General features: G+C 47.2%; 1 annotated feature.

The window, feature by feature from the left end:
* Window positions 12,362-12,862: an enhancer, noted in NCBI's record as "H3K4me1 hESC enhancer chr9:137781651-137782151 (GRCh37/hg19 assembly coordinates)". NCBI's record gives its function as "activates a minimal SCP1, AML or CMV promoter by ChIP-STARR-seq in naive H9 embryonic stem cells {active_cell/tissue: H9 hESC(naive)}" and the evidence as "EXISTENCE:reporter gene assay evidence [ECO:0000049][PMID:30033119]".

Genomic DNA, 14,489 nt, shown 5'->3' with positions numbered 1-14,489 from the left:
TGTATCTCTTTGTGTAATTCTTTTACAGGTTGCTGTAGGCATGACAATATATACACTTAACTTTTCTCAGTACACTGAGAGTTGAAATTGTAGTACTTCGAGGAAAACATAGAAAACTTGCAATGATATCGGTTACATTTTACCACCTCCATATGTTGCAATTATTAAATGTATTAGATCTGCCTACCTCGAAAACCCATCAGTCTTTTAACTTTTGCTCTCAATGGTGATTCATATTTTTAAAAAAACTTGAGGCAAAAAAATAGTGTGATATATTTATCCAACTATTTATCATTCCTGTTGCTCTCTTTCATTTCTGAAGTCCTGCACATCCCTCTGTTTTCATTCTCCTTCCAACCTAAGAACTTTCTTTAGCATTTCTTTTAAAGCAGCTCCATTGATGATCAGTTCGCATATTGTTCCTTTCCTGAAGAATGTCTTTATTCTGGGGACTGTTGTGGGGTGGGGGGAGAGGGGAGGGATAGCATTAGGAAATATACCTAATGCTAAATGACGAGTTAATGGGTGCAGCACACCAACATGGCACATGTATACATATGTAACAAACCTGCATGTTGTGCACATGTACCCTAAAACTTAAAGTATGATAATTAAAAAAAACTATACAGAAGTTTTCTGAGAAAAAAATAAAAATAATACAACATAAAAAAGTAGAATGTCTTTATTCCACATGCACACGTATGTTTATTGCGGCACTATTCACAATAGCAAAGACTTGGAACCAACCCAAATGTCCATCAATGATAGACTGGATTAAGAAAATGTGGCACATGTACACCATGGAATACTATGCAGCCATAAAAAAGGATGAGTTCATGTCCTTTGTAGGGACATGAATGAAGCTGGAAACCATCATTCTGAGCAAACTATTGCAAGGACAGAAAACCAAACACCACATGTTCTCGCTCATAGGTGAGAATTGAACTTGGACACAGGGTGGGGAACATTACACACTGGAGCCTGTCGTGGGGAGGGGGGAGGGGGGAGGGATAGCATTAGGAGATATACCTAATGTAAATGACAAGTTAATGGGTGCAGCACACCAACACAGCACATATATACATGTGAAACAAACCTGCATGTTTTGCACATGTACCCTAGAACTTAAAGTATAATAATAATAAAAAAAGAATGTCTTTATTCCAAGTTTATATCTGAAGAATATTTTCACGGAATATAGCATTCTGGGTTTACAGTTATTTTCTTCCCATGCTTTAAAAATGTTATTCCAGCCTGGCCACAGTGTCTCATGCCTGTAATCCCAACACTTTGGGAGGCCAAGGTGGGGGTGGGAGGATTGCTTCAGTCCAGGAGTTTGAGACTAGCCTCGGCAACATAGTGAGAGTCCATCTCTAAAAAAAAAAAAAAAAAAAAAAAAAAGTAATAGCCAGGTGTGGTGGTGAAGTCCTGTAGTCCCAGCTACTTGGGAAGCTGAGATGGGAGGACCACTCGAGCCTGGGAGGTCAAGGCTGCAGCGAGCCCTGGTCACACTACTGCAACATGTAATAGCACCCTTTATTCAGCAGAATAAGGGTGAGAAAGCAGAGTGAAACCCTGTCTCCAAAAAAAAAAAAGAAAAAAAAACCACAAAGTTATTTTAGTGTCACCTGGCCCCAGTGGTTTCTTCTTCTTCTCCTTCTCCTTCTTCTTCTGTAGGAGTTTTGTTCTTGTTGCCCAGGCCAGAGTGTAAGGGTGCAGTCTTGGCTCACTGCAACCTCCGCCTCCCAGGTTCGAGTGATTCTCCTGCCTCAGCCACCCAAGTAGCTGGGATTACAGGCGCCCACCATCATGCCCAGCTATTTTTTTTTTTTTGTATTTTTAGTAGAGACGAGTTTCATCATGTTGGCCAGGCTGGTCTTGAACTCCTGACCTCAGGTGATCCACCTGCCCTGCCTCCCAAATTGCTAGGATTATAAGCATGAACCACTGCATCTGGCCCCCAGTGGTTTCTTGTAAGAAACATGCAGCTGTTTAGATCATTGTTACCTTATTTGTATAGCACATAATGTGTAGCTCTGTTGTTTGGTGTGCACACATTTAGAATCCAACAATTCTACTAAAAAACCTCTAAATTTTTAGTAGGTTGACCTTTTATTATTATATTCTGTCTCTGGTAATTTTCTTTGCCTGAAGTCACTTTTATCTGATATAGTAGAGCCTCTCCTGCTTTCTTTTGATTAATGTTTGCATAACATACATTTTCCCATATGCTTTTACTTTCAATTTGCTCATATTATTATATTTGAAATAAGTTTCTTTTAGATAGCATATGCTTAGTCAGGCTTTTAAATACACTCTGACAATCTCTCTCTCTTTTAATTGGTTCATTTAGGCCATTTACTTTTATGTAATTATTGAAATGTTAGGACTCCTCCTTACTGCTGGGTGGGAGTAGGAGATCCAGCTCCTCAGGAGACCTTCCCTGGTACCTCTGTGCGTAGGAGGGTTGTGTGTCTCCTTTCTGTTCTCCATGAGGGCTTTACTGGCACCACAAGGGGAGGGGTGGACTCACTGCTACTGGGAGATGGTGAAAGTTCTGAATCTCCACTAGGCCTCTCTGATACCAGCCAGTGGGGAAAGAGCTGAGCAACTCATAACTGCTGGGTTGGGGTGGAAGTCTAGTTTCCCCATGTAGACTCCACTGACACTGCAGGAGTAGAGGGGACTTGTTACTGCTTGTGCACAGAGGAGATGAAAGTGCCTTTTCTGATACCAACCCATCCAGCACTAGAGGGTGCTGGGATGCCTCATTACAGCTCAATGAAGGTGGAAATCTAAGCTCTCTACCTAGCCTTTGCTTGTAGGGGAGGAGATGGGTCACCTCCAGCGTTTGACTGGAATAGAGCAATTATTGTCTAAAGTTTTCTGTCTTGCTGGACTGTCTTCTTCCTGAGCCTTTGGATAGAGAGAGCAGGTTTTTACTGGCCTTCTTTTTTTTTTTTTTTTTATCTGTGCCTTTTGGTATTTTCAGGTTATCAGCTTCTTCAGGTCAGGGATATCTGTTACATTTATTGAGTGGAATAGGGTAAAAGTATGTCTACTCCATATTACCAAAACCAGAAGTCTCTATTTTTCCCAATGCGTTTTCTCTCCATTGTTCAAAATGGAAGACTTTTATTGACCTGTCTTCAAGTTCACTGGCTCTTCCGTTATCTCCATTCTTGTATTGATTCTATCTAGGGAAATGCTATTTCTATTGTTACATTTTTCAGTTCTAAAGTTTTCATGTGATTTATTTTGTAGCTTCTAGTTCTTTGATGAGACTGTCTAGCTTTCCATTAACTTCAGGAGTGTTAGCACTTACTCCTTACAGCATGATTATAATAGCTGCCTTAAAGTCTTCAATACTTCTAGCACTTGGTCATATCAGGATTAGTGAATGTCGATTGCCTTTTTCCTTCAGAATTGTCTATGTTTTCCTGGTTCTTTACATCCCTTGTGCAATTTTGGATGTAGCCAGGACATTTTGAATATTATGTTATGAGATTCTTTAAACATCTTCTGGGAAAATGTTGACTTTGTTGTTGTTTCAGCAGGCAGTGCACCTAATTAAGTTTAGATTGCAACTTCTGTTTCGCTTTCCCTGTGTAGGTTATTTACACAAATGTTGTGTTCTCTCTCCAATCTGTCTTTGTTACTTTTCAAATCATCAGGTATTTGTGTTTTGTTCAATGTCTGACGTGCTGCAGTGGGCTCACTCCATTGTGGGAAGCATCATTCAAAAATGCAACTCAACCCCAAAGATTTTCTGCTCTAATTCCCAGTGCTATAAATACAGGCTATCATGCCAGTGATCATGTTATGTTACATTACAAAAGCGATTTTGAGATGCTATTAAGATGGCTAATTAGCTGACATTGAGTTAATTAAAAAAGGGATTATCAGGGTGGGCCTAATCTAATCATGACAGTCCTTTAAATGCAGAGAGTTTTCTCTGGCAGGTAGCAAAAGAGGAGTCAGACAGATTTGCAGCATGAGGGTGATTTGACACACTTTTGCAAGCTTTGAAGATGGAGGTTCATTTAGAAAGAACCTGAGAGTGGCCTCCAATAGCTGACAGCAGCTCCCAGCTGACAGCCAGCAAGAAAATGGGAACCTTACTCCTAAAACCACACGGAACTGGATTCTGACAACAACCTGAATGGCCCTGGAAGCTGCTTCTCCCCCAAATCTCCAGCTGAGCATAAGGCTTGGCTTACACCTTGACTTCAGCTTTGTGAGACTCTAACCAGAGGACCTTGCTTGCTGAGCCCACTCAGACCCCTGATCCATAGAACTGTGAGTTAATAAATGGGTGCCGTTTGTGGTAATTTGCTGTGCATGAGTAGAATACTAACACAGCCACCTTGACTGCTATAGAAATTATGAACTTTGTTTTTTAAGTGTTGATGTAGATCACTTGAAACCTAGCAATACTTTGTCTTCCTCCAACACAGGTTTCATTTGCTTCTCCAGGCATGTTCTGGAAGTTAATAACCAGTGCCATTGCCAGAGATGGTCTGTGCACCCATATGACTTAAAATCAGTTTGCAATTTTGGGGGAGAGCTGGTTTACTTGCAGGTGATCCTTACCTCTGGGATGCACATGTACATAGTTGTCAGGCTAAAGTGCAGGTTCCTTAACCTGAAACTCCATTCTTGGCAGGCTCTAAACATGTACCCTGGTCCCCTTCAGCCTGCTGAGTTGACAAAACTCCCACACAGACTTGAAAGCTTCTCTCTGATTGGTGAATGACCCCAGACAAAGATACTCACAGATACTCCACTCTGAGTTTCTATTTCTGCCGAATCTTATTCTGGTAATTCCTCATTACTCTGATCATCTTTAGTGCTTAAGAAGAGTATCTCTGAAATTTGCCCAGCTTTTTTGATTTCAGAAGGAAGTTTGGCCTTGTTTTCTAACCCATTATTACTGGAAGTAGAAGTCGGCACTTCCAGTTCTATGATCTAATTTTACACTTAGGTTTCCAGGTCACTAGAGCTTGCACATTGAGCATTTTTTTAAATGGCCATTTAATACTCACTGGAGGAAATGGACATCCTCTTATTGTTGAACACTTATAATCTATCCAGTGTTTCCTCTTATCGTTGAATACTGATATCCTAGCCAGTAATTAACACGTTTATGTACACGCTTTTTTCTCTTACGTTGCATTTTTTTTCCAAGAGTAAGTTCTCTGGTAAGCTTATTGATTCAAAGGGTACAAGCTTTTCTTTAAGTTCACGTAGTGTCATAAGTGACACTTATGAAACAGATTCAAGTCATAATACCACATCCCCATAAAACAATCTATCTAAGGCATGTAAATATTCACTGTAATTAATTTGATCCTTATTGCATGTTTTAAAAACATTTCAACTTGCTTTTGATTTGGATCTCTCTCACCTTTATTCTGAGGGATGGGTGGGGGGCCTGGGGACACATGGCCCACAGAAGGCTGGAGATGGAGTGGGAGGCAGGCTGACTTGTCATCTCTGTTTGATGTGCTGCTGTGTGACTTCCTACCACAGCTCATCAGCGGAGAAGAGGGAGGGCTCTAGGCATCACCCACTGAGATTTTGGTTCTAAAAGTCTGGGATGGGGCCCCTGAATCTGTATTTTTCAGAGCCTCCCCAGGTGGCTCCGACGGACAGTTAGGTTGAGGAACCACTAGCGTGCTAGTTTCAGAGAGCCGAGTAGAAGGTTTTAGTGCAAGCGAACAAAACCCGGAGATCTTCTGGCTCATCAGAGCAAACTCATATTAAAGAAGACAGCAATCCTGGAAGGGAAAAGAGAGATAAACGAATTAACGCAAATGGGTTTCAATTAGAATCCAGGCTCGCACAGCCCAGAGAAACAGGAGCTGGGAAGCCAGGTAGGTATCAGCCGAGCCAAGCATTCATCAGAGCCAAGCATGCTGGATACGTGATGGCCGCTCCAGGTTTTGTTTTTGTTTTTGGATGTGCGTTCTGTCCTTGACTCACATGTCTTGGCCATCAGCCCAGTAGAGGCCCTTCCCGACGGTACGGGGTAAACAACCTTGGACTTCCCGCCATACAGGTCACTTGGCCCACTTTGAAGATTAGCTTTTATGGAGAAGCAGAACTGCATTTGACAAGAGGAAGACCTTCCAATGTCAGTCACCACCATCCCAGGCCACACTGATCTGGTGGCTGCTCATGCCAGTAGTGAGCTTCTTGTGCCTGTGGGTCTGCTGGGAGCTACAGAGGCACTGACTTGAGTTCTGGGTGGTAAGATCACCCAGAGCAGCTGCCCCTTAATTTCCAGTTCTCAGATTTGATGATTCATGTTTCAACCCCAATGAAATTGTAGAACACCCATGCCGTCATGGAAGGCACAGGGCTCTGGGAGGGCCCGTTTGCTACCTTGGGACAGATGGACATATCCAGATTGTCCTTGGCTCTGCTGGCTTCCCGACTGGGACTTCTGCCACATCTTGGGGTGGGCGGGTGGGCTTCCAGCCTCCTGTAAAGCTGCAGGAATCAGATAACTGGCTGCCCCCCACCCATATGGCCTCTGGCTGATGAGTCACAGTGGCAATGAAAACCAAACTGAGTAGCTCAAGTGCAGCTAAAGAAATCAGTAGGAGGCCAACTTGGCACAAAGCCCAGAGTAAGTTTTTGAACCAGGAGGAGAATGCAGGTTTCTCCTCTCCTCGCCTGGGCCACCTCTTTGTAAAGATAAGAAACAGCAGCTATTTTAACAGGCAATCTTAATATCTCAGGGCTGATACACAATGCAAGTTTGTTTCTTGCCCAGGTCATAGTCCAGGGCAGGACATGGTGACAAGAATCACTCCTGCAGTGATTTAAAAAACCAGATTTCTTCTGGGCATCTTCTTTCCTGAGATAGAAATTTGGCTCATATTTCATTCAGATTTGATGCACTTCTTTGCCAATTTATCCCCATGCCTCCCTGTATCTCTCATCTTAAGGAAGTCTTTCTTAAAGTTTTCAGGCTTGGGCAGGAAGGATCTTTACTACAATTTTGAGTCACTCTGTTCAAAACAACGTATTCCATTGATCCTTCTTACCCTAGTGCTTTTAAAACCTCATCTCGTACTGTTTGGAGTCTAACAATGTTCAGGCATTTTCCAACTCTGCGAGATTTCCAATTCCTAGTCTCTTTAATCCATTTTTTTTCCTGCTTGCTAATTTCTTTTCTAAACTCTTCTTTCTCTTGTAACACCTAGTCAGACAGCCAATAAAAATAAACACACACTGAAAGTTCTGTTTTTCAAGTCGATCCCCTGGGGCTGGAAGAGACGTTCCAAGGAACTGCCTTCCAAGTTATTGAAGACAACATGTTCATCAAACAAAACTCTGCAGCCCTCCACCCACCATGTGGCTGCTAGGCCAGTGCCTTGGATTTTAGGTGTCTGTTGCCACGCTCTTGCACTTCTGGTACCAATCTCTGCATGAGTCAGTGTAAGCACAAATAGCTGCTATAACAAACAACCCCTCAGGATCACAGTGTCATCATTTCCCCTTGTGCTGCAATGCAGGGCCCATGCAGTGCAATGCAGGTTTACAGAGGGCTTTGGGGTTCCTCACCAGGACATGGGACAGAAGGTTTGGGGGGCCAGTTTAGAAAGGGGTCTGCATAATCTCTGTGAACATCCCATTGACTAAATCTCCATCATATAGTCTCATCTAACTGCAAGAGAGGTTTAGAAAAGCAGCCTTCTTGTACCCTCAGGAGGGGGAAAAACAGGCTTAGTGAACATATAACACTATGTCTGTCTCAATGCCACAAGGCATGCCTTTTATAAACAATAATGAGAAATTCTCCTGGAGTGATGGGAGCACGTACGGTAACGATGCAGCCATCTTCCCCAAGGGTTTGCCATTTGTGTATGGATTGGAATGTGAATTGTCTGTATTTGCACTTAAATCTGGACATCCACCTGATGCAGGGTAGGTGAGCCCCAAATTGGGGCTTAGCCCAGGAGGGTTCTTGGCTTCACCCAGGAAAGAATTTAAGGGTGAGCTGGTGGCATCAAACAGCAACTTCTATTGAAGCGGCCATGTACAGCAGTAGCCAAGTTACCCTCCTTGCAGAGCAGGGCTCCCCATAGGCAGTGTGCCCAGAGCAGCAGCTCAGAGGCAGTTCTGCAGACATACTTATACCCACTTTTAACTAAATGCAAATTAAAGGTGGTTTATACAGAAATTTCTAGGAAAAGAGTGGTGACTTCTGGGTCATCAAGTCATTGCCATGGAAAGGGGTGGTAACTTCTGGGTGTTGCCGTGGGCAATGGTAAACTGACATGGCACATGGGTGGGTGTGTCTTATTGAAAGCTGCTTTCACCTTGGCCCTGTTTCAGCTAGTCCTCATCTGATCCAGTGTCCAATCCCTGCCTCCAGAGTCACGTCCCGCCTCCTAACTCTCTCTCAGGTCAGACAGGCAGTGAGAGAGTAACTGGGGAGTTCTGGCTCCTATAAGGATTCAGGAGAACTTCAGGCTGAGCCTGGAAGAAAGAAACAGGACAGGACTCACTGGAGCCACTGCTTTGAGTCTTCCATTTAGGCCGTTTGTCTGATGCTATTGGAAAAGGCCTCGTTCTCCTGGTGAGAGGGCAGGCTCCTTCAGAGCAGGAATTCACTGCCTTGTACTCCAGAGAGGGCTGTGCACCCAGCAGATGTTCCATGGGGGTAGTGGGAGAAGGGCTTGGCTTAGTCTTTCTTCACTAAGTGATTAGTGTCATTCTAGTGAAGAAAAGAGAAGGTGAAGGTCAGTGGGGCAGGTGTCCTGAACTCTGTGTCTTCCTGACTTTGAGGATAGGGCATGCAGTGTTTTGGGGATTTTTTTTTTTTTTTTTTTTGAGATGGAGTCTTGCTCTGTCACCCAGGCTGGAGTGCAGTGGTGCGATCTCGGCTCACTGCAAGCTCCACCTCCCAGGTTCACGCCATTCTTCTGCCTCAGCCTCCCAAGTAGCTGGGACTACAGGCACCCGCCACCACACCCAGCTAATTTTTGTGTGTATTTTTTTAGTAGAGACGGGGTTTCACCGTGTTAGCCAGGATGGTCTCGATCTCCTGACCTTGTGATCTACCCTCCTCGGCCTCCCAAAGTGCTGGGATTACAGGCATGAGCCACTGTGCCCAGTGGTTTTGGGGATTTTTTACCTGTTGCATCTGACTGGGGCCACTGAGACTCCTCTTAGGACAACCGACCATCCTGGTGGCTAGGGCTTTTCCAGGAGATGGATGCTCAGTGCTAAAACTGGGCAGGCCCAGGCTCACTGGCACAAGTTGGCCACCCCACTCTTTCTGACTACAGGCTACTGGGAGAGGAAAGAAGCCTAGGACGCAGAGGAATAAAGGGACAAGAACAGACACCCAGAGAGGCTGGGGACAAAGAGATGCGAGGGGCCCTGAGTGCCCAGGAGCCTGGAACAGTGATGTCCTCCTAGCGTGGGGTCACCTCCCAAAATGCACAGTTCATGCTCTGCAGCAGGCCATGTTTTCTGCCTGTTACTCCCTGCTTGCCTTCGGCCACTTCCCAGAATGCTCTTTCCAGCTCTCCACTCCCATTCCCCAGCAGTGTTTCCATCTTGGTTGCTGTAAAGTGCAAAACTCAGAACCCAGGGCACAGGTGGGGAGTGACCTATGCAGAGGCGAGTGTGGCATCTTCCTTGTTCTAGATGTCAGGCCTTTGTGAATGCAGCCTAAAACCACATCCTACCTTTGGTGAGCAACATTACGCTCTGCCTAGAGCCAGCTGAGCCTGGAATCCACAAGACGGCCCTTTCCCAGTTCTTTTTTTTATAAATTGCACTTAAGGCATGGAGTCATTGGAAGAACTCAGAAACCCATGGTGAGGGGTAGGGAAGGGGCAGGGGACACGGGGGTTTGGGTCAATGGAGGCAAGAACACCTGGTTTCAGGGTTTGGGTGCCTATCAGTCACAGCTCCCAACCATCAGCTTATTGGAGGGAGACAGTGTCCCTCAGGCCAGGAGAGAGAGAAGAGAGCCAGTTCTCCCTCAAGCAGATTCTGAAGGCAATAAAGGCAGACAGCCTGGCCTCTGCTCTGACCCCAGGGAGCCCGCCCTGGCTAGTGTGGGCAGCAGGTGAGGGAGGCCTTTGCTGGAGCCTGGCCCACAGCAGGTGGCTCCATCCTCCTCTCCCAGGTCTGGATACACAACAGAGTCAATCCCTGCCCGCCACCCCTATGCCAAGGCACAGCTCCCAACACCCTCAACAGAACAGCCTGGACTCTCAGCCCAAGGAGACAGGCAGGTGACAGGAGGTGTAGGGGCAGGCCAGGCAGGGCTAGGCAGGGCTGGAGCCCACAACAAAGACCTATAGCCAAGGGCTCCTGCGCCCAGGGAAAGGCCCGAACAGAAGGGGAGGCCTCACGGGCAAGGGCTGTCAGCTGGGCAGGGGGTGCCCTAGGAGGAGGACTGGCAGCTGGGCCGGGTGTGTGATGCTGTGCTACGCTTCCTGGCCCTTCAGCACATTGCAAACCCAGTGTGGGAGCACATTCTTCTTACTCCCCGGGGCCTTCAAATCCACCCTGCCATCCCATGTTACACGAGAAGGAAGATTCAGAGAGGTCAGGTCACAGATCAAGGCCACACAGCCCAGGTCTGTGAGGGCAAAATGCCACTGCACTTCACAGCTGAAATGAAGAGACTTTGCTTTTGAAGGAGGCAAGTTCTACTCTGAGACCCTGCCTGGGAGCACAAGCCACACATAGTGCCACGTGGCCAATGTCTCCATAAACACGTACAGGCAGCTGAACAGGACCAGGGACCAAAGGGCCCCAGGCAGGGCCACTGACACCAAGGCCAGGAGGCCTCACAGAGCCCCATGCTCGGTCAGTTCCTCCTGAAGACTGGACAGGAAGAGGGGGTGGGGATCAGGCTGCAGCAAATCCATCGCCCAAGGGCTGAGAGCCCAAGGGCAGGATGGAAGGGTCCTAGGGTTCCACAGAGCACCCGCTACTGCTCGGAAGGCAGAGCACAGGGAAGACAAAACCAGAAAGCACATCAGATTCTGGAGAGGTGAAGGCGAGTGAGAATGAGGTCTGGAAAAGGTGTAGCAGGGGCAGGGTGGAGAATGAGGATCCCAGGGAAGGGTCAAGTTGTGCTCCCATTCCCAGAGAGCATCACACCTTCATGGGGAGAGTCCTCAGAGGTGGAGGACTGCCCTGGGCCTAGATTTGTTAAATGGCCCTCTCTCCTGCAGAGGAGCTTTCTGAGTACACTGCTTCACCTTCCTGATACATGGGGTTCCAGCCCTGCAGGGCGGGCTCCTTTCTCATCCTAAGGACGGGGACTTCCTGATGTTGCAACCACCCAGTGGGTTCAGCTTGCCTGCTGCCCAGACAGAGCCAATTTATCAAGACAGGAGAATTGCAATCGAGAAAGAGTAATTTACGCAGAGCCGCCGTGCAGGATACTGGACTAGAGTTTCATTATTACCAAATCAGTCTACCCGAGCATTCAGGGATCAGAGTGTTTAAGGACAACTTGGTGAGTTGGGGGGAAGCGAATGAGCCAGGAGTGCTGATTGGTCAGGGTTGGGGGGAAGCCAAAGAGCTGGACATACTGATTGGTCAGAGATGAAATCACAGGGAGTCAGAATTGTCTTCTTGCACTGAGTCAGTTCCTAGGTGGGGGCCACAAGATCAGACGAGCCAGTTTATTGAGCTGGGTGGTGCCAGCTGATCCATCAAGTGCAAGGTCTGCAAAATATCCCAAGTACTGACTTCAGGAGCAGTTGAGAGAGGGTCAGAATCGTGTAGCCTTCAGCTGCATGACTCCTAAACCATAATTTCTAATCTTGTGGCTAATTTGTCCTACAAAAGGAGTCTAGTCCTCAGGCAAGAAGGAGGTTTTGGGAAAGGGCTATTATCATCTTTGTTTTGAACTATAAACTAAGTTCCTCCCAAAGTTAGTTCAGCCTATGCCTAGGAATGAACAAGCACAGCTTGGAGGTTAGAAGCAAGATGGAGTTGGTTAAGTCAGATCTCTTTCATTGTCTCAGTCATAATTTTACAGTGGCGGTTTCAATGTCAGTTACTCCAGCCAAAGCAAGGCTTCACAGCTTTGGGGAAAATAAGCATCCTTATCCAGACCCCAAGAGAGGGTTCTTGGACCTCTCACAAGAAAGCATTTGGGGCGAGTTCATAAAGTAAAAGCCACTTTATTAAAGAAGTAAAGAAACAAAAGAATGACTACTCCATAGGCAGAGAAGCTCTGAGGACTGCTAACTGGCTATTTTTATACTTATTTCTTGATTACATACTAAACAAGGGGTGGATCTTTCATGAGTTTTCCAAGAAAGGGGCAGGGAACTGAGGGTCCCTCCCTTTTTTAGACCATACATAGTAAGTTCCGGAAGTTGCCATGGTGTTTGCAAACTGTCGTGGGAGTGTCCTTCAACATGCTAACGCATTATAATTAGCATATAGTGAGCAGTGAGGACGACCAGAAGTCACTTTTGTCACTGTCTTGGTTTTGGTGGGATTTGGCCGTCTTCTTTACCGCATCCTGACCTGTATTTTGTGATACCCGTCCTGCCAACCTCCTATGACTAAGAATGCCTAACCTCCTGGGACTGCAGCACAGCAGGCCTCAGCCTCATTTCACCCAGCCCCTATTCAAGATGGAGTCTGGCTTGAATGCCTCTGTCACCCCCAGCCTGGCCACAGAAACCACAGTTACAGTTAAGAATCTAGGGTCTAGTGGGCACAGGCCCCCTGCCAGCTGCTGCCCCTTCTTCCAGCCCTCCCGACAGCAGAGGCCTGAGACCTCTGAAGAGCAGGAAGGGAGGCAGCGGTCCCCAGCAGAGGGACAGGGACAGCCCAGCCCTGGGGACACTCTTGGCCTTGGCCTAGGCTCCAACCTGGCTCAGCCCCCTGCTCTGGAGGGGAGCCAGACACCCTGAGGCAGCACTGGTGGCCTGAAGGAGCCAAGTCTTTCAGGGGATGGGAGAAGCAGGCACCTGTGGCTCCCAGGTGCCCACCCAGTACCAGCTGGTCCTACAGAGCCCTTCCGATGCCTGCCTCAGTTACACCTCCCAGAGGCCCCGCAGGTGCACACACACACACACGTATGCACATGCGATGCACGTGTCATGCAAATACATTTATGTTATGTTAGGTTAATTACACAAGCCTCCATGACCTCCCTGTGCTGTGTTAATTACGCCAGCCTCCTGACATACTGACTGCATTTTTATAAGTACATTTTCTTATCCCAACAAACCCCCCCAAAGCTTGACAGTATTTATAAAGTATAGCAAAGCTACATTAAATATTTAGAAAAAGTTACTTTTTAGCTCATCTCTCAATTAAGAAAATTTAAAAAAACAATATTTTTAAAAATCTCTGGCTTGTCAGGCTAAAAACATTTCTATATTAAATAGCTTTATTTTTGCCTTCCAGAATAATGCCATCATGCATTCCAGGGAGAACCCCATTTCTAGAACTCAAGGGTCAAGATTTGGGAGAAATTCCCAGTTCCTCCCTTTACAGCTGTGTGAGGTGCGTGTTTTCTTCATTTAAATCTCCTGTTGGAGATTGAAATGCCCAGAATGGGGGGTAAGCGGCGCTGAGAGGAGGTCTGACGCCAGGTCTCATCCTGACAGTGGCCCGGGCTGTGTGGCTGAGCTCTTTGCTGCCCTAGAAGACTGCCTGGCAGTGAATGGCTGAAGCGTGAGGCCACAGTGCATGTAAAGTCAGCACCTGTCAGTGATTTGTCATCCTGTCTAAAAGCTAGGGACCCAGGTCTACGAGAAAAGAGATGTCTGGGTGTAATTTCCAGGGGCAGCACCCCGTCATTTAGTTATAAACCCTCAGGTTTGACAGCTTGCTAGTTTCTGTCCTGAGGACGGGTCAGCCCCCTGGGTGGGTGGTGTGGCCCCCTCCTGCGGGCCCAGGAAGGAAGGAAGTGCCACGCCCAGGGCCATCCCTGCTTCCCGCTGTCCTGGCTCATCCCAGGCCTCGGACCCAGAGTGAGGAGGGAAGGTGAAGATGGCTGTGTCCTGATCTTCATGGCGCACCCCCTCCAGGAACTCAGAGGAAACAGTGCACTCTCCCCCGAGAAGTCCCAGACACACAGCCCTCTCCATGACTTGTGTAGGGCTTAGACCAGCTAAGACCCAGGACGGACCCTCGTAGGGGAAGGAGGGGGCCCGCGTGAAAAAGCTCAGGGAGGGATCATGGCCTCCTTGGACCCTTCTGGATCCTCTCTGAGTAGAGGGTATAGGACAAGGGCAGGGCTGTTATGAGAGTGATCGGGGACCCAAACAGCCGTACAAGGGTCAGCACTGGCCGATGCTGGGGTGCGGAGCCTCTAAAAGCCTGGTCAGGCTGAGCTGGCTGGGGACCGGGGACAGGGGACCGGTCCTCAGGAGGACCCGGACGTGGTGAGAGGAGAGGGCCAGGTGCCATCCTCAGCAGACACAAGCTCCTGCACTAATACACTTTTCTCTCTTGCAGGCAGCTTGCCTGAG

The sequence above is a fragment of the Homo sapiens genome, chromosome 9 (assembly GCF_000001405.40).
Source record: "Homo sapiens chromosome 9, GRCh38.p14 Primary Assembly".
Classification (NCBI taxonomy): domain Eukaryota; kingdom Metazoa; phylum Chordata; class Mammalia; order Primates; family Hominidae; genus Homo; species Homo sapiens.
This window is presented reverse-complemented; position numbering and strand designations above follow the sequence as displayed.